The sequence below is a fragment of the Homo sapiens genome, chromosome 11, assembly GCF_000001405.40.
Source record: "Homo sapiens chromosome 11, GRCh38.p14 Primary Assembly".
In the NCBI taxonomy this organism is placed as follows: domain Eukaryota; kingdom Metazoa; phylum Chordata; class Mammalia; order Primates; family Hominidae; genus Homo; species Homo sapiens.
This window is the reverse complement of record NC_000011.10, coordinates 10060001-10079043: the sequence shown is the minus strand read 5'-3', so window position 1 is coordinate 10079043 and position 19043 is coordinate 10060001. Positions and strand designations below refer to the sequence as shown.

The 19043-nt window shown below is 37.7% G+C and overlaps 1 protein-coding gene across 11 annotated transcripts in view, besides 1 other annotated feature; it reads left to right on the top strand.

The window, feature by feature from the left end:
- Positions 1-19043, top strand: part of SBF2 (SET binding factor 2) — a 526174-nt gene that overhangs the window by 225798 nt on the left and 281333 nt on the right. The window lies entirely within an intron of this gene.
- Positions 1773-2378: an enhancer, noted in NCBI's record as "H3K27ac-H3K4me1 hESC enhancer chr11:10098213-10098818 (GRCh37/hg19 assembly coordinates)". NCBI's record gives its function as "activates a minimal SCP1, AML or CMV promoter by ChIP-STARR-seq in primed H9 embryonic stem cells {active_cell/tissue: H9 hESC(primed)}" and the evidence as "EXISTENCE:reporter gene assay evidence [ECO:0000049][PMID:30033119]".

The following is a 19043-nucleotide window of genomic DNA, read 5'->3' as shown; positions in this document are numbered from 1 at the left end:
GGATGCATCTGTGGTGTATGTTGAGTAGGGTTCTCTGGCTTTGCTTATGGGTGCATTTGGTGGCATAGACTATGTATGATTTTCTTGGTTATAAATAGCCTCAGTTTGGTGGATTTCTTAAATGCTAGTTGCAGTCATAATGTAAGGTTGAGCAAATGGGTTCAAGTCCTCCTGAGTAGCCAGGGTGTGGTGTTGGTAGTAGAGGTCACACAGAGCTTGTCTGTTCTTCAAACCTCATGCAATTTTTTTAAATTTGTTTTTTATTATTATACTTTAAGTTCTGGGGTACATGTGCACAACCTGCAGGTTTGTTACGTAGGTATACGTGTGCCATGTTGGTTTGCTGCACCCATCAACTCGTCATTTACATTAGGTATTTCTCCTAATGCTATCCCTCCCCCAGCCCCCAAACCCCCGATAGGCCCTGATGTGTGATATTCCCCTCCCTGTGTCCATGTGTTCTCATTGTTCAACTCCCACTTATGAATGAGAACATGTGGTGTTTGGTTTTCTGTCCTTGTGTTACTTTGCTGAGAATGATGGTTTCCAGTTTCATCCATGTCCCTACAAAGGACATGAACTCATCCTTTTTTATGGCTGCATAGTATTCCATGGTGTATATGTGCCACATTTTCTTTATCCACTCTATCATTGATGGGCATTTGGGTTGGTTCCAAGTCTTTGCTATTGTGAACAGTGCTACAGTAAACATATGTGTTCATGTGTCTTTATATTAGAATGATTGATAATCCTTTGGGTATATACCCAGTAATGGGATCACTGGATCAAATGGTATTACTAGCTCTAGATCCTTGAGGAGTCACCACACTGTCTTCCACAATGGTTGAACTAGTTTACACTAGTGTAAAAGCGTTTCTATTTCTCCATATCCTCTCCAGCATCTTTTGTTTCCTGAATTTTTAATGATCGCCATTCTAAATGGCATGAGATGGTATCTCATTGTGGTTTTGATTTGCATTTCTCTAATGACCAGTGATGATGAGCATTTTTTCATAAGTTTGTTGGCTGCATAAATGTCTTCTTTTGAGAAGTGTCTGTTCATATCCTTTGCCCACTTGTTGATGAGGTTGTTTGTTTTTTTCTTGTAAATTTGTTTAAGTTCTTTGTAGATTCTGGATATTAGCCCTTTGTCAGATGGATAGTTTGCAGAAATTTTCTCCTATCCTGTAGGTTGCCTGTTCACTCTGCTGATAGTTTCTTTTGCTGTGCAGAAGCTCTTTAGTTTAATTAGATCCCATTTGTCTATTTTGGCTTTGTTGCCATTGCTTTTGGTGTTTTAGTCATGAAGTCTTTGCCCATGCCTATGTGCTACATGGTATTGCCTACGTTTTCTTCTAGGATTTTTAATGGTTTTATGTCTAACATTTAAGTCTTTAATCCATCTTGAGTTAATTTTTGTATAAGGTTTAAGGAAGGGATCCAGTTTCAGCTTTCTGCATATGGCTTGCCAGTTTTCCCAACACCGTTTATTAAATAGGGAATCCTTTCCCCATTGCTTGTTTTTGTCAGGCTTGTCAAAGATGAGATGGTTGTAGATGTGTGGTGTTTGTTATTCCATTGGTGTATAGATGTGGTTTGGTACCAGTACCATATTATTTTGGTTACTGTAGCCTTGTAGTATAGTTTGAAGTCAGGTAGCATGATGCCTCCAGCTTTGTTCTTTTTGCTTAGGATTGTATTGGCAATATGGGCCCTTTTTGGGGTCCATATGAACTTTAAAGTAGTTTTTTCCAATTCTGTGAAGAAAGTCATTGGTAGCTTGATGGGGATGGCATTGAATCTATAAATTACTTTGAGCCGTATGGCCATTTTCACGATATTGGTTCTTCCTATCCATGAGCATGGAATGTTCTTCCATTTGTTTGTGTCCTCTTTTATTTCCTTGAGCAGTGGTCAAACCCCATGCAATTTTATCAACAGATAATGTAATAAGCTCTGCAGGTTGGCCTTGCAGCCAGTAGGTGGCGCTAGCATGCGAGATCCAGCTGAGGTGGTGGCAATATGCTTGACCTTTGTTAACCAGAGGTACTCTGATGTCTTAGGTGATGGACTAGGCTGTGGAACTCCCAGGGGCCCTGTTCCCAAGCTCTTCCTCAGATGCAGGTTGATGGAGGCAAGGCCAAATGGGGCTAGGCTGGACAGTCCCATGCTCCGGCATCCCCAACACCAAGCACAAGTGCTGTCCCCAAGGAGGATCAGAAAGCAGTTCTCAGGCCCCTGGGGCAATGCTCGAGGGAGGAGCAGAGCAACTGGTGCTGTGTCAAAGAGCCAATACAGGGACAGAAGGGTAGTTTTGGTTCCACAGCCTAGCAGGCAGTAGTGGGACCTGCCTGAAGTCCATGCTTTCAGCCTGGCAGGGCTCCCTCCCATGGCCTGCTGCCAGTGGTATGCTAATACAGCCAGCCAAGTTATAAGCAGTCTTTCTTCAGATTGTAACATCGCCCCAGGTCTCAAAGCTCCCTCCCTGAGACAAAAACATGGCTCCCAGGCCACACCCCTCCTGGTCCCATGCTGCAAACGGGTAGTGCCCAACTCCTGTACCCAAAGCTGGAGCCCACATATTCTCACCTCTCAGTTCTGGCCATAGGGGCTCCTGTCCCACTAGAGACTGGATTGCAAGTCCTGATCTGAAGATTCTCCAAACCAGTGTCTGCCACCTGTGCTGGCTGGCTGGTTTTCGTGCAGCCCCCTTAGTTGGATCAAGAATGGCCTTCTGTCAGTAGTTGGAGACGGGAGTGCATATGGAGCACTTTCTACTGCCATTCCTTCTTACAGTCTCCCTGTTCTCCAACTTAAGATCTAGCTCTCAGTAGGGTCACGGAGCTCCCCAGTGGCCTGGATTGCCTCGTTCCTTAGTAGAAATATGTATTGTAAGATACTCTCTCCCCCGTCATACACTGGTGATTCACTCACAGTTTTCCACCACAGATCCACAGCGTAGCCTAATGCCCACTGTATTTTTCAAAGTATTCAATTATTCTTTTGCTTTTATATTTAGCTCTCATGTTTCTTCTTGGATGAAAGTTCACCATGTGAATCTGTACATGCTATTTTGCTATTTCTGAGTGGGTGAGCTATGGTAACAAAGCCTCTAATTTGCCAACTCGCAGAAAAAAAAAAAAACTACCAGAAATGGTTTTCTGTTTCCTCTACGATCCCATCCTTTATGTCTCAGGCTAGAGGTGTCCTCTGTTGCATTCATCAATTACTGTGTTAGTCTGTTCTCACACTGCTATAAAGAACTACCCAAGACCGGTAATTTATAAAGAAAAGAGGTTTAATTGACTCACAGTTCCACAGTCTGGCTGTACAGGAGGCATGGCAGAGAGGCCTCAGGAAACTTACAATCATGGCAGAAGGGCAAAGAGGAAGCAAGCATGTTTTCACATGGTGGCAGGAGAGACAGCAAATGAAGGGGAAAGTGCTATACACTTTTAAACTACCAGATTTCATGAGAACTCATTCACTATCATAAGAACAGCAAGGGGGAAATCTGCCCCGATGATCCAATCACCTTTCACCAGGCCCCACCTTCAACACTTGGGATCACGATTCAACATAAGATTTGGGTGGGGACACAGAACCAAACCATATCAACTACCTATTATTCTCTTACATAGCAATAGCAGTAGTAGTGAAGATGTTACTCATTACTTGAGTACTGATTGTGTGACTGGTCATAATTCTATAACAGTGTTTATTAATCACTTACAATGTCTGAGGCAGAATGCTAACCAGTTTACATGCATGATATCACTTAATCTTGACAGTAATGATGTATTTTGTGTTCAAGGAAAACTGAGGTTTAGAGAAATTAGGTAATTTACCAAAATTATAACCTAAGTTAAGAGTCAGATCAAGATTCTTGTCTGTCTGGTGGCACAGGCCATGAGATTATCAAGTTTTAGCCTTCTCTGTGAATCTCTTTTTCAGTATATCTGATAAATTGCCATCCAACTTCTGGTTTAATTTGTGAAGTAAGGGGTTCTCATTCTCTAGGACATAGTTTATTCCATTGTTTGACAGCTTTAAATGTTAACACGTTCTCCCTAATATTAAGGAAACATTAATATATTTTTCTGTAACTTTTAAACTATTATATCTTAACCATTCCAGACATACAGAGGGTAAAATGAATCTATTCTTATTAACATTGGCTATATTTAGCAAATTGTATTTAATATATGTGTAAACAAAATTGACCTGGCTATAAGCAAGAAATCTCTTTTCAGATGGATAAACTTGTATTTAAAATTGTGTGTGTCTGATGTAAAAACCAAAAACAAAATTACTCTGGGGAATCTAATGTACACATTTTCAATTTTCTCTGTTCTCCCTAGTCTATAACTACATCTAAACTTAATAAACAGAGATAGGTAATGGAGTTCAGTGCAAATATTTTTTAATCAGCCTAAGTAAAATAATATAAAACACTTAAAATAAGCAAAAGATGAATATATAGCTATCACAGACTTTGAGAGATAACTTTGAGAGATAATAAAATCTGCAGAATGAAAAGTCAGTCAGTCACATGTGAGAGTTTTATAAAATTCGAAGAACATTTTGTTTCTAATTTTTGTCTTTCCATTTGATCTTCCTTTGCTGGCTGAGTTTTTGTGAATTCATCATTTCTTATAAATGGACCTTTCTGAGAATATTGATTCAAACATGTTCAACATCTATGTTTTTGGTATTTATTATTTATCAAATATAGTGCTAATAAGCATTAGGCAAGGCACAGTTGTATAAGGTAGGGTTCTCTTGGTTTTCTTGTTAAAAACATAGAAAAATTAAAAGATAAAAATAGAGAACAATGAACTCCCATGTACTCATCATACAACTACAGCAATCGTTAACTCTGGGTCACTCTTTCTTTCCCGCTCTATTATACCTGTCTACCTACTGGCCTCAAACCCTTCTAATTGGATTATTGTGAAGCAAACTACAAATATTGTATTAATTGAATCATACGAAATTGTCTACATCCATTTATTTTCACCTATAAAATGATAATTACATTTGATTCAACTTCATATCACTTTGTTCATAAATATTAGAGTACTTCTAAAAGACCTCTTTTTTCTTAACACAACCACAGTGTCATTTATCATACCTAAAACATAAGTAATAATATCACCAACCATCTGCAGTCTTTATATTTCCCCACTTGTAGTATGTAAGTGTGTATATTGCTCATTTACTATCTTTTCACAGTTGGTTTGTTTGAATTCACATCCAAACAAGGTCTACATATGCATTTGGTTGATAGGTCTCCTAAATCTTTTTTTTTGTTTTTTTGAGTTGGAGCCGCACTCTGTCTCCCAGGCTAGAGTGCAGTAGTGCGATCTCACAATCTTGGCTCACTGCAACCTCTGCCTCCCAGTTTCAGGCAATTCTCATGCCTCAGCCTCCTGAGTAGCTGGGACTACAGGTGCATGCCACCACACCCAGCTAGTTTTTGTATTATTAGTAGAGACAGACAGTGTTTCGCCATGTAGGCCAGGCTGGTCTCAAACTCCTGACCTCAAGTGATCTGCCCGCCTGGCCCTTCCAAAGTGCTGAGATTACAGGTGCAAGCCACTGTGCTGGGCCACTTAAATCTTTCTTAATCTATAGTTTCTTCTTTGATTTTCTTCCATATAATTTGTTAAGGAAATTGCTCTTCCTTAATTTCAATTTAATAAGGAATTTGAAAATTTTAATAATTTTAAAATGAAAATAATTTTAATAATTTTTACTTCAACTTTACAAGGGATATAGGAAACACATAACTATAACTCATTGTAAGTAAAAGCTTACTTTATTTCTCTTCAGATAAGCCTTTATTGATTACTTACCTGCTAGGCAGAATTCTAAGCACTTCATATTCACAGCAACCCTGTAGATCCCATATTGCAATACATCCCATTACTCAGATCACATTATATATTGGCCTTTTGAAGGAGTCAATTGAAAGCAAGATAACCACTGGGTGCGATGACTCACACCTGGAATCCCAGCACTTTGGGATGCCAAGGCAGGCGGATTGCTTGAGCCCGGGGGTTCAAAACCAGACTGGGCAAAAAAGTGAAACCTGTCTTTACCAAAAATAATGATGATGATGATGATGATAATAATAATAATAATAATAATTAGCCATATGTGGTGTCATGCATCTGTAGTCCTAGCTACTTGACAGGATCATGATTGCTTGACCCTGGGAGGGCGAGGCAGCAGTGATCTGAGATGGTGCCACTGCACTCCAGCCTGGGCAACAGAATGAGACCCTGTCTCCAAAAAAAAAAAAAAGAAAAAAAAAAAAGATTCCACTGGATTTTTTTGTTTTTTGAGAACATAGTAATGCAGCCATTAGTGGAAAAGCCCCAAATGATAGCATTCCTTCTATTTGTTGTCCAGGAAATTAGTAAAATTCCAACGTTTATAATTTACAAGAAAGGAAAAGGAATTGAAATGGAACTCACCTTATTTCCTCTATTTAAGTACTTTTACATTTATTCTTAAAAATCAAAGAATTATTACTATTTGTCAATTTTAATTGAAAAAAAAAATAGAAGTATATCTTCAACTGTTTCCTGAGTCATTATACATAAGATTTCTGACTCTTAAAAGGTAGTGAGCTTCAAGAAGTGAGTAGGTTGTTGGGCCTGAGAGATTTTGAAATGTCAACACTTTGTGCTGACTAGAATCTTAAATTTCCCTTAAAATATACAAATCCTTGATATGAGTCATGTTTTCTTAGAAACCGTTTGTGAAGTTTTGGCTTTAGGAACTATAGTCTTAATATCTACCTTAAAGGCTATATAAGATATAAAAGATATTTTGGTTAAAAGTCAAAATTAGGTATTTTTATGTGGTGACTTATTTGGCAATTAGTGAATCTAGGTAAGGGTAAATGGGTTTCATTGTACTATTCAAATTATGCCTGAATATTTATATGCACACATACATGTGTATGTAAATGCATACAAAAAATATTTGGAAGGAAACACATAAAGCAATTAATAATGATTAATATGGCTGGAGGTGAAGGGTGGAGTGCCCCACATCATTGGGTTGGGCGGCAAAAACTTGAATGATTTCCCTACAAATTTCTGTATTGATGCGAAAATCCTCAATAAAATACTGGCAAACCAAATCCAGCAGCACATCAAAAAGCTTATCCACCATGATCAAGTCAGCTTCATCCCTGAGATGCAAGGCTGGTTCAACATATGCAAATCAATAAACGTAATCCATAACATAAACAGACCCAGTGAGAAAAACCACATGATTATCTCAATAGATGCAAAAAAGGCCTTCAGCAAAATTCAACAGCCCTTCATGCTAAAAACTCTCAATAAACTAGATATTGATGGAATGTATCTCAAAATAATAAGAGCTGTTTATGACAAACCCACAGCCAATATCATACTGAATGGGCAAAAACTGGAAGCATTCCCTTTGAAAACTGGCACAATGGCCGGGCACGGCGGCTCACACCTGTAATCCCAGCACTTTGGGAGGCCGAGGCAGGTGGATCACGAGGTTGGGAAATCAAGACCATCCTGGCTAACATGGTGAAACCCCATCTCTATGAAAAATACAAAAAATTAGCCAGGCGTGGTTGCGGGCGCTTGTAGTCCCAGGTACTCTGGAGGCTGAAGCAGGAGAATGGTGTGAACCTGGGAGGCAGAGCTTGCCGTGAGCTCAGATCACGCCACCACACTCCAGCCTGGGTGACAGAGTGAGACTCCCTCTCAAAAAAAAAAAAAAAAAAAGAGAGAGAGAGAAAAAAAGAGAAAACCGGCACAAGACAAGGATGCCCTCTCTCACCACTTCTATTCAACTTAGTGTTGGAGGTTCCAGCCAGGGCAATCAGGCAAGAGAAAGAAATAAAGGGTATTCAATTTGGAAGAGAGGAAGTCAAATTGTCTCTGTTTGTGGATTACAATATTGTATATTTAGAAAACACCATCGTCTCAGCCCAAAACCTCCTTAAGCTGATAGGCAGCTTCAGCAGTGTCTCAGGAAACAAAATCAGTGTGCAAAAATCACAAGCATTCCTATACACCAATAACAGACAAACAGAGAGCCAAACCATGAGTGAACCCCCATTCACAATTGCTACAAAGAGAATAAAATACCTGGGAATCCAGTTTACAAGGGATGTGAAGGACTTCTTCAGGGAGAACTACAAACCACTGCTCAACGAAATAAAAGAGGACACAAACAAATGGAAAAACATTCCATGCTCATGGATAGGAAGAATCAATACCGTGAAAATGGCCATATGGCCCAAAGTAATCTATAGATTCAATTCCATCCCCATCAAGCTACCAATGACTTTCTTCACAGAATTGGAAAAAAACTATTTTAAAGTTCATATGGAACCAAAAAAGAGCCCACATTGCCAAGACAATTCTAAGCAAAATGAACAAAGCTGGAGGCATCATGCTACCTGACTTCAAACTATACTACAAGGCTATAGTAACCAAAACAGCATGGTGCTGGTACCAAACCACATATATACACCAATGGAACAGAACAAAGCCTTCAGAAATAACACCACACACCTACAACCATCTGATCTGTGACAAACCTGGCAAAAACAAGAAGTGGGGAAAGGATTCCCTATTTAATAAATGGTGTTGGGAAAACTGGCTAGCCATATGTAGAAAACTGAAACTGGATCCCTTCCTTACATCTTATAACAAAAATTAATTCAAGATGGATTAAAGACTTAAATGTTAGACATAAAACCATAAAAACCCTAGAAGAAAAACCTAGGCAGTACCATTTACGACATAGGCATGGGCGAGGACTTCATGGCTAAAACACCAAAAGCAATGGCAACAAAAGCCAAAATTGACAAATGGGATCTAATTAAACTAAAGAGCTTCTGCCCAGCAAAAGAAACTACCATCAGAGTGAACAGGCAACCTACAGAATGGGAGAAAAATTTTGCAGTCTACCCATCTGACAAAGGGCTAATATCCAGAATCTACAAAGAACTTAAACAAATTTACAAGAAAAAAACAACCCCATCAACAAGTGGGCAAAGGATATGAACAGACACTTCTCAAAAGAAGACATTTATGCAGCCAACAGACACATGAAAAAATGCTCATCATCATTGGTCATCAGAGAAATGCAAATCAAAACCACAATGAGATACCATCTCACACCAGTTAGAATGGCGATCATTAAAAAGTCAGGAAACAACAGATGCTGGAGAGGATGTGGAGAAATAGGAATGCTTTTACACTGTTGGTGGGAGTATAAATTAGTTCAGCCATTGTGGAAGACAGTTTGGTGATTCCTCAAGGATCTAGAACTAGAAATACCATTTGACCCAGCAATCCCATTACTGGGTATATACCCAAAGGATTATCAATCATTCTAATATAAAGACACATGCACATGTATGTTTATTGCAGCACTGTTCACAGCAGCAAAGTCTTGGAGCCAACCCAAATGCCCATCAATGATAGACTGGATAAAGAAAATGTGGCACATATACACCATAGAATACTATGCAGCCATAAAAAAGGATGAGTTCATGTCCTTTGCAGGTACATGGATGAAGTTAGAAACCATCGTTCTTAGCAAACTGTAACAAAGACAGAAAACCAAACACCACATGTTCTCACTCATAGGTGGGAATTGAACAATGAGAACACTTGGAATAGGGTGGGGAACATCACACCCTGGGGCCTGTTGGGGGGTGGGGGGAGGGGAGGATAGCATTAGGAGAAATACCTAATATAAATGATGAGTTGATGGGTGCAGCAAACCAACATGGCACATGTATACCTATGTAACAAACCTGCACGTTGTGCACATGTACCCTAGAACTTAAAGTAGAATATAAAAAAATCAAAATTAGTTATTTTTATGTGGTGAATTATTGACAATTAGTGTATCTAAATAAGGGTAAATGGGTTTCATTGTACTATTCAAATTATGCCTGAATATTTATATGCACACATACATATGTAGGTAAATGCATACAAAAATATTTGGAAGGAAACACATAAAGCAATTAATAATGATTAATATGGCTGGAAGTGAGGGGTAGAGTGCCCCACATCATTTGGTTGGGCAGCAAGAATTTGAATGATTTCTCTACAAATTTCTGTATTGTTTGGGCTTTCGGCAATAAAAATATATTCATATTTTAATTGTTTAAAGAATTCAAAATAATCAGTATGTATTTTCATTCATCAGCTCCTTGAGGGCAACAATGCTGTGAATTGATTCAAGTTTTGAGGTAGAGAAGAATCAAGTTGACATTATTTTGAAAGGGGTGACGGGGGCTGAGTCGGTAATAATATTAGTAATAATGATAATACAATAGCTACTATTTATTAAATATTTACTCTTTGCTAGGTACTATGTTAAACATTTTAGGTGCATAAAATAGTTTTTTATAAAAGCTACGTAAGGTATATCACAGTATTTTCATTAAGATTTTATTAATTAAAGGATTGTGGAGAGCCCACACAGCTAAGTAAATAGCAAGTCTGAAATTTGAATATGTCTTTTATTCTAGAATCCCAAGTCTTAAACACAGTGCTAGAGTCTGAATAATGAGAATGGGTAAGAAATAGGAAAACAGTATTTCTAAAGTCACAGCTCTGAAAGTGGTTAAAATGGTCAGGTCAGTGGTATGTAGGACCCTTAGCCAGAGGGCTAGACCTTGGATTCAAACAGAAAAGCACCTTGTTTCTCAAACTGACCAAAATGAGGATTCAGGAAAGGGTGAGTTGTAATCAGAACTCAATTGCCTATGATTTATTTTAAAAAATCACTTAAGGAAGCACTTAATACTGTATAAATACATGTAAAGTAAAATTTAACCATGTGGGTGCTATGCTAGGTTTGCAGCTGGCAGTTTGCAAGCAGCAATAGATCAGGTAATCCAATTTGCAGGGAGAATTTCTGCTGCCTGCAGCAGAGGGACCTTCTCCATTAACACATTGCTTCATTTCATGATTTCATTATCCCCTGCTTTAAGAACACCTAACAATAGTTACACTTTTCTTGAGCAAGTGTTAAAGTTTCTTATTAATGGAAAGGGATCAGTTGTCCTTCTATGTGTGGGTTTCTGTGTTTTGTTTTATTTGTCTGTTTGCATTTCTTTTTTTTATTCGGGGGAGGGGTATCATTTTGTTGCCAGGCTGGAGTTCAGTGGCATGATAATAGCTTACTGCAGCTTCAACCTTTTGGGCTCAATTGATCCTCCCACCTCAGCCTCTCGAGCTGGATGCACAGACAGCTAAGTTTTTGTTTTTTGGTTGTCGTTATTTTTTATAGAGACAGGGTCTCCCTATGTTGCCCAGGTTGGTCTCAAACTACTGGACTCAAGCAATCCTTCTGCCTTGGCCTCCCATGGTGCTGAGATTATAGGTGTGAGTCACCACACCAGACCTTATTTCCATTTCTTTACTCTAGTACTATGCTGGGCATTTTTTTGTTTTGTTTTTGTTTTTGTTTTTGTTTTTTTGGTTAATGTTGCTTTACCACAATTCTTGGAATCAGGTAGTGTTACTTCTCCAATTTAGTCTGTTTCAGAGTTGTTTTGGCATTCTAGGTCCTTTACATTTTCACTGGAATTTCAAACTCAGTTTTACAACTTCTACTGTCCTCACTTTCCCCCTCCCCCTCAAAAAAACAAACACACAACCAAAAAACCTGGTGACACTTGGACTGGGATTGCATCAAATCTGTAGATTTATTCAAACATAGATTGACTTGTAGAAGAATTGACATCTTGACAATATCAAGTTGGCCAGCCCTTCAACAATATACATCTTCCTATTTGTTTGGGTCTTATTTAGTTTTCCTCAGCAGTGTTTTGTAATTTTCATTGTCCAGCTCTTTCACATCTTTTGACATATGTATCCCTAAGTAATTCATTTTAAAAAAAACAGAGTCAGGGTCCCACTGTGTTGCCCAGGCTGGTCTCAATCTCCTGGCCTCAAGCAGTCTTCCCATTTCACACTCCCAAAATGCTGGGATTACAGGTGTGAGCCACCATACCTAGCCTAGTTCATATTCTTGATGCTTTTATAAATGACATTTTAATTTAAATTTCTGGTTTGCTCATTGCTAATAGGAAGAAATGTAATTGATTTTTATATATTGATCATGTGTTCTACTACCTTGCTAAACTTATTTGTTCTAGACACTCTTTGTAGAGTCCACTCTTTGTAGATTTTTCTCTGTAGATTTTCAGCAATCGGGTTCCTTCCTTTTTTTTGCTTGATTGCCCAGGCTAGAACCTGGAGCACAAAGTTGAATACAAGTGGTGATAGAAGACGTGCCTATCTTGTTTCTGATCTTAGTGGAAAAGCATTCGGTTTTTCAACATTAAGTATGATGTTAGCTGTGGATTTCACATCAATGCTCTTTATTAGGTTAAGGAAATCTGGTTTTTCTCCTAGTGTACTCAGAGTTTTTAACAGAAGTGTTTGCTCACTTTTGTCAAATGCGTTTTCTGTTTGTATTGAAATGATCATATCATTTTTCTTAGTTTGTTTCTTTTTTATGTAAACATGTTAAAATGAATTCTGTTGATTGCTTTTCAAATGTAAATCAACCCTGTATTCCTGTGTTAAACCCCGCTTGGTCATGATATGTTAGCCTTTTATTACATGGTTGGATTCAATTTGCTAAAATAAAAGATATATATATATAGATATAGATATATAGATATATAGATATTTAGTATTTTTACAACTGTGTTCATGAGGGATATTGAACTGTAGTTTTCTTGTAATGTCTTTATCAAGTTTTGGTATTGGTAATGTCGGCCTTATAAAATGGGTTGGAAAGTATTCTATATTTTTCCGTTTTTTTAGAAGAGTTTGGGTAGAATTGCTGTTATTTTTTTAAGGAAAAAACCTTTAATGTTTAGTAGAATTTACCAGTGAAGCCATCTGGAACTGTAGGGTTTTTTGTTTTTGTTTTTGTGGAAAGTTTTTTAACTATAGTTTTATTTTCTTCAATGGATATAGGGTTATTCAGGTTATGTCTTCATGAGTGAGGTTTGGTAGTTTGTCTGGTTTTTTGTTTGTTTGTTTGTTTGTTGTTTGAGAAGGAGTTTTGTTCTTCTTGCCCAGGCTGGAGTGCAATGGCGCGATCTTGGCTCACTGCAACTTCCACCCCCTGGGTTCAAGGATTCTCCTGCCTCAGCCTCCTGAGTAGCTGGGATTACAGACATGCACCGTCACACCTGGCTAGTTTTTGTATTTTTAGTAGAGACGGGGTTTCACCATGTTAAGCTGGTCTCGAACTCCTGACCTCAAGTGATCCACCTGCCTTGGCCTCCCAAAGTGCTGGGATTACAGGCGTGCGTCACTGTGCCTGGCCAGTAGTTTGTGTCTTTTAGAGAATTTCTTTATTTCGTCTAAGTTGTCAAGTTTATTTATAGGATGTTTTTCATAATATTCCCTTATGATCCTTTTAATAGCTATAGAAATTCTAGTGATATCATCTTATTCCAAATATTAACATTTTTTTCTCTGTGTGTGATCAGTGTGGCTAAAGTTTTTTTTATCTCAAAGAACAAACTTTTGCTTTAGTTGATTTTTTATTACTGTGTCTACTTTTTATTTTATTGATTTCTGTTTTTATCCCTATTATCTTTTCTTGTTTATTTACTTTGATTTAACTTTCTCTTCATCTGATTTCTTAAGGTGGAAACTGAGTTCATCGATTGAAGCTTTCTATAACATTTTAAGTGTTTAGTGCTATAAATTTCCCCTTACATACTACTTTAGTAGCATCCTACAAATTTTTATAGGTTGTTTTCATTTTCATTTAGTTCTGAATAATTTCCATTTTTTCTTTTGACTTCTTCTTTGGTTTATGAGTTATTTAGGTATGCATTTAGTTTTTAAATTTATGATTTTTCAAGAGATATTTCTGTTTTTCATTTCTAATTTAATTCCCTTTGACATGAGAACATATTTTATATTGTTTAAATCATTTTAATTTTATTGTGGCTTACTTAGTGGCCCAGTATATGGTCTGGTTTGGCAACTAATTCAGATGTACTTGAGAAGAATGCATATTCTGCTGCTGCTGTGTGGAGTGTTCTATAAACATCAAATAGGTCAAGTTGATTGACAGATTGTTCAGATCGTCTATATCCTCACTATTTTTCTATTCGTTCTATCTGTTATTGAGAGGGGGTTTTGAAATCTTTGACTGAAATAGAGGATATTTGCCTCTTCCCTCTTGCTGTTCTATCAGATTTGTTTCACATAGTTCAAAGATCTTTATTATGTACAAAAATGTTTAGGATTTTATGTTCTCTTGATTAATTGGCCCATATATCATTATAAAATGTCTTCTTCCTGTTTAAAAAAAATTTCTGAAATCTACGTTGATATTAATGTAGCCACTTTAGCTTTATTTATTTAATGGTAGCATAATATATCTGTTTCCCCTCCTTTTTCTTTTAACCTTTTCGAGTCTTTGTATTTAAAATGTTTCTTGTACACAGTATGTAGTTGGGTCTTGCTTTTTTACGTGGTCTTAAAATCTATTTAATGTGATGACTAATATGGTTAGGCTGGAATCTATTATTTTACTGTTTTCTGTTCATTCCATTGGTCCTTTTTACCCTTTATTTTTCAGCCTTCTTTTAGGTTAAGTCCTTTGTTGGCTTATTAGTTACAACTCACTGTATTTTCATTTTAGTGGTTACTTTTGGGCTTAAACAATCCTTGTTTAACTTATGCAATCTTTAATTTGTATATTCTACTTTCAAGTGATACTGTATCACTTTTCCTATAGTATAAGAACTATACAGCAAGAGTACTCTTTCATTTCTCCCTTCCCAAATTTTGTGCTATTGTTGACATATATTGTAGTTTTATATATGCTATAAACCCCATGCTGCAGTGTTATTTTTATTTATATAGTCAATCATCTTTAAAAGATATTTAAATAATAAAAAAAATCTTATGCATTTACCCATGTAGTTACTCCATCTGGTATTCTTCATTGTTTTATGCAGTCATATTTGCATCTGGTATTAGTTTTGCCATTATTTCTTAAAATATTTTTGCTCCCCCCGACGCCTTAATTCCTGTTACTTATATTTTAGGCCACTTGAAGTTCTCTTACAGCTCACTGATTCTCTTTTCGTTTTCTCTCTCTCTCTCTCTCTCTCTGTGTGTGTGTGTGTGTGTGTGTGTGTGTTTTATTTTAGATAATTTTTATTGGTGTAAACTTAAGTTTACTAGTCTTTTCTTCCATAGCATCTAATCTGTTGTGAATATCATTTGATTTGTCTTTTATCTCAGACATTATGGTTTTTGTCTTCAGTAGTTTGAGTTTTTTTATATTATAATTTCTAACTTTTAAAAAATTTTTGGCCAGGCGCGGTGGCTCACGTCTGTAATCCCAGCACTTTGGGAGGCCGACTCAGGCAGATCATGAGGTCAGGAGATCGAGACCATCCTGGCTAACATGATGAAACCCGTCTCTACTAAAAAATACAAAGAAATAGCTGGGCGTGGTGCAGGGCATCTGTAGTCCCAGCTACTCGGGAGGCTGAGGCAGGAGAATGGCGTGAACCTAGGAGGCAGGGCTTGCAGTGAGCCGAGATCACGCCACTGCACTCCAGCCTGGGCGACAGAGCAAGACTCTGTCTCAAAAAAAAATAAAATAAAAAAATTAAAAAAATATATATATATATATATTTTTTTTACTTTAGGTTAGAGGGTACATGTGAAGGTTTGTTACATAGATAAACATGTGTCGGGGGTTTGTTGTACATATTATTACATTACCAAGTTATTAAGCCAAGTACCCAATAGTTATCTTTTCTGTTCTTCTCCCTTCTTCCACCCTCCCCTGTCAAGTAGACCCCAGTGTCTGTTATTTCCTTCTTTGTGTTCATATGTTCTTATAAGTGAGAACATGCGGTATTTGCCTTTCTGTTCCTGCATTAGTTTGCTAAGGATGATAGCCTGTAGCTCCATCCATGGTCCGGCAAAAGACATGATCTCTTTCTTTTTTATGGCTGCATGATATTCCATGTGTATATGTACCACATTTTCTTTATCCTGTCTGTCATTGATGAGCATTTAGGTTGATTCCATGTCTTTGCTGTTGTGAACAGTGCTGCAGTGAACATTCACGTGTCTGGGTCTTTATGGTAGAATGCTTTATATTCCTTTGGGTATATACTCAGTAACGAGATTGCTGAGTCAAATGGTAGTTCTGCTTTTAGCTCTTTGAGGAATCACCGTACTGCTTTCCAAAATGGTTGAACTAATTTACACTCCCACCAACAGTGTATAAGGGTTCTCTTTTCTCCACAACCTTGCCAGCATCTGTTATTTTTTGAATTTTTAATATAGCCGTTCTGACTGGTGTGAAATGGTATCTCATTGTGGTTTTGATTTGCATTTCTCTAATGATCAGTGATATTGAGCTTGTTTCCATATGCTTATTGGCCACATGTATGTCTTTTTTTAAAATGGTCTGTTCATGTCCTTTGCCCACTTTTTAATGAGGTTGTTTGTTCTTCTCTTATAAATTTGTTTAAGTTCCTTATAGATTCTGGATATTGGACCTTTGTCAGATGCATAGTTTGCATAAATTTTCTCCCAGTCTGTAGGCTTCTCTTTACTCTGTTGATAGTTTCTTTTGCTGTGCGGAAGTTCCTAAGTTAAATTAGACCCCATTTGTCAATTTTTGGTTCTGTTACAATTGGTTTTGGTGACTTCGTCATGAAATCTTTGCCTATTCCTAGATCCATGAGGGTATTACCTAGGTTGTCTTCCAGGGTATTTATAGTTTTGGGTTTTACATTTAAGTCTTTAATTCATCATGAGTTGATTTTTGTATATGGTGTGAGGAAGGGGTCCAGCTTCAGTATTCTGCATATGGCTAGCCAGTTATCCCAGTACCATTTAGGGAGTCTTTTCTCCATTGCTAGTTTTTGTCAGCGTTGTCAAAGATCAGATGGCCATAGATGTGTGGCCTTATTTCTGGGCTCTCTATTGGTCTCTTCCATTGGTCTGTGTGTCTGTGCTTGTACCAGTACCATGCTATTTTTGGTTACTGTAGCCTTGCACTATAGTTTGAAGTCAGGTAACATGATTCCTCCAGCTTTGCTCTTTTTGCTGAGATTTGCCTTGGCTATACAGACTCTTTTTTGGTTCCATATAAATTTTAAAATAGTTTTTTCTAGTCCTGTGAAGAATGTCATTGGTAGTTTGATAGGAATAGCATTGAGTCTGTAAATGGCTTTGGGCAAGGTAGCCATTTTAATGATATTGATTCTTCCTATACATGAGCATGGGATGTTTTTCCATTTGTTTGTGTCTACTCTGATTTCTTCGAGCAGTGTTTTGTAATTCTCATTGTAGAGATCTTTCACCTTCCTGGTTAACTGTATTCCTGTGTATTTTATTATTTTATGTGTGGGAATTGTGAATGGGTTGCCTTTCTGATTTGGCTCTCGGTTTCGTTGTTGTTGGTGTATAGGAATGCTAGTGATTTTCGTATATTGATTTTGTATCCTGCAACTTTGCTGAAGTTGTTTATCAGCTGAAGGAGCTTTTGGGCTGAGCCTGGGGTTTTCTAGATATAGAATCATGTCATCTGCAAACAGATATAGTTTGACTTCCTCTCTTCCTATTTGGATGTCCTTTATTTCTTTCTCTTGCCTGATTGCTCTGGCTGGGAATTCCAATATTAAGTGGTGAGAGAGGGCATCCTTGTCTTGTGCCAGTTTTCAAGGGGAGTGCTTCCAGATTTTGACCATTCTGTATAATGTGGGCTGTGAGTTTGTCATAGATGGCTCTTATTATTTTGAGGTATGTTCCTTCAATATGTAGTTTGTTAAGAGTTCTTAACGTGAAGGGATATTTAATTTTATCAAAGGCCCTTTCTGCATCTAGTGATATAATTATGTGGTTTTTGTCTTTAGTTCTGTTTATATTATGAATCACATTTACAGATTTATTTGTTTATTTATTTATTTTTTTTTGAGATGGAGTCTCGCTCTGTTGCTCAGGCTGGAATGTAGTGGCACGATCTCAGCCTACTGCAAGCTCCACCTTCCAGGTTCACACTATTCTCCTGCCTCAGCCTCCGGAGTAGCTGGGACTACAGGTGCCCACTACCACGCCTGGCTAATTTTTTGTATTTTTAGTAGAGACAGGGTTTAACCGTGTTAGCCAGGATGGTCTCGATCGCCTAACCTCGTGATCCTCCTGCCTCGGCCTCCCAAAGTGCTGGGATTACAGGCATGAGCCACCGCACCTGGCCACGTTTACAGATTTTTATATGTTGAACCAACTTTGCATCCCAGGGATGAAGCCTACTTGGTCATGGTGGGTTAGCTTTTTGATGTGCTGCTGGACTCAGTTTGCAAGTATTTTGTTGAGGATTTTTGCATTGATGTTCATCAAGGGTATTGGCCTGAGGTTTTCTTTCTCTGTTGTGTCTCTGCCAAGTTTAGGTATCAGGATGATGCTGGCCTCCTAGAATGAGTTAAGAAGAAGTCCTTCCTCCTCAATTTTTGGGAATAGTTTCTATAGGAATATTACTAGCTCTTCTTTGTACACCTGGTAGAATTCAGCTGTGAATCCGTCAGTTCCTGGGCTTTTCTTTGGTTGGTAGGCTATTTATTACTGATTCAGTTTCGGAGCTTGTTAGTAGTCTGTTCAGAGATTCAGTTTCTTCCTGGCTTAGTCTTGGGAGGGTATATGTGTCCAGGAATTTATTAATCTCTTCAAGGTTTTCTAGTTTTTGTGTGCGGAGGGGTGTTCATAGTAGTTTCTGATGGTTATTTTTGTTTCTGTGGGTTCAGTAGTAACATCCCCTTTGCCATTTCTAATTCTGTTTATTTGGGTTTTCTCTCTTTTCTTCGTAATTAGTCTAGCTATTGGCCTGTTTTATTAATTGTTTTCAAAAAGCCAATTCCTGGATTATTGATCCTCTGAATGACTTTTTGTGTCTCAGTGTCCTTCAGTTTAGCTCTGATTTTTGTTATTTCTCGTCTTCTGCTAGCT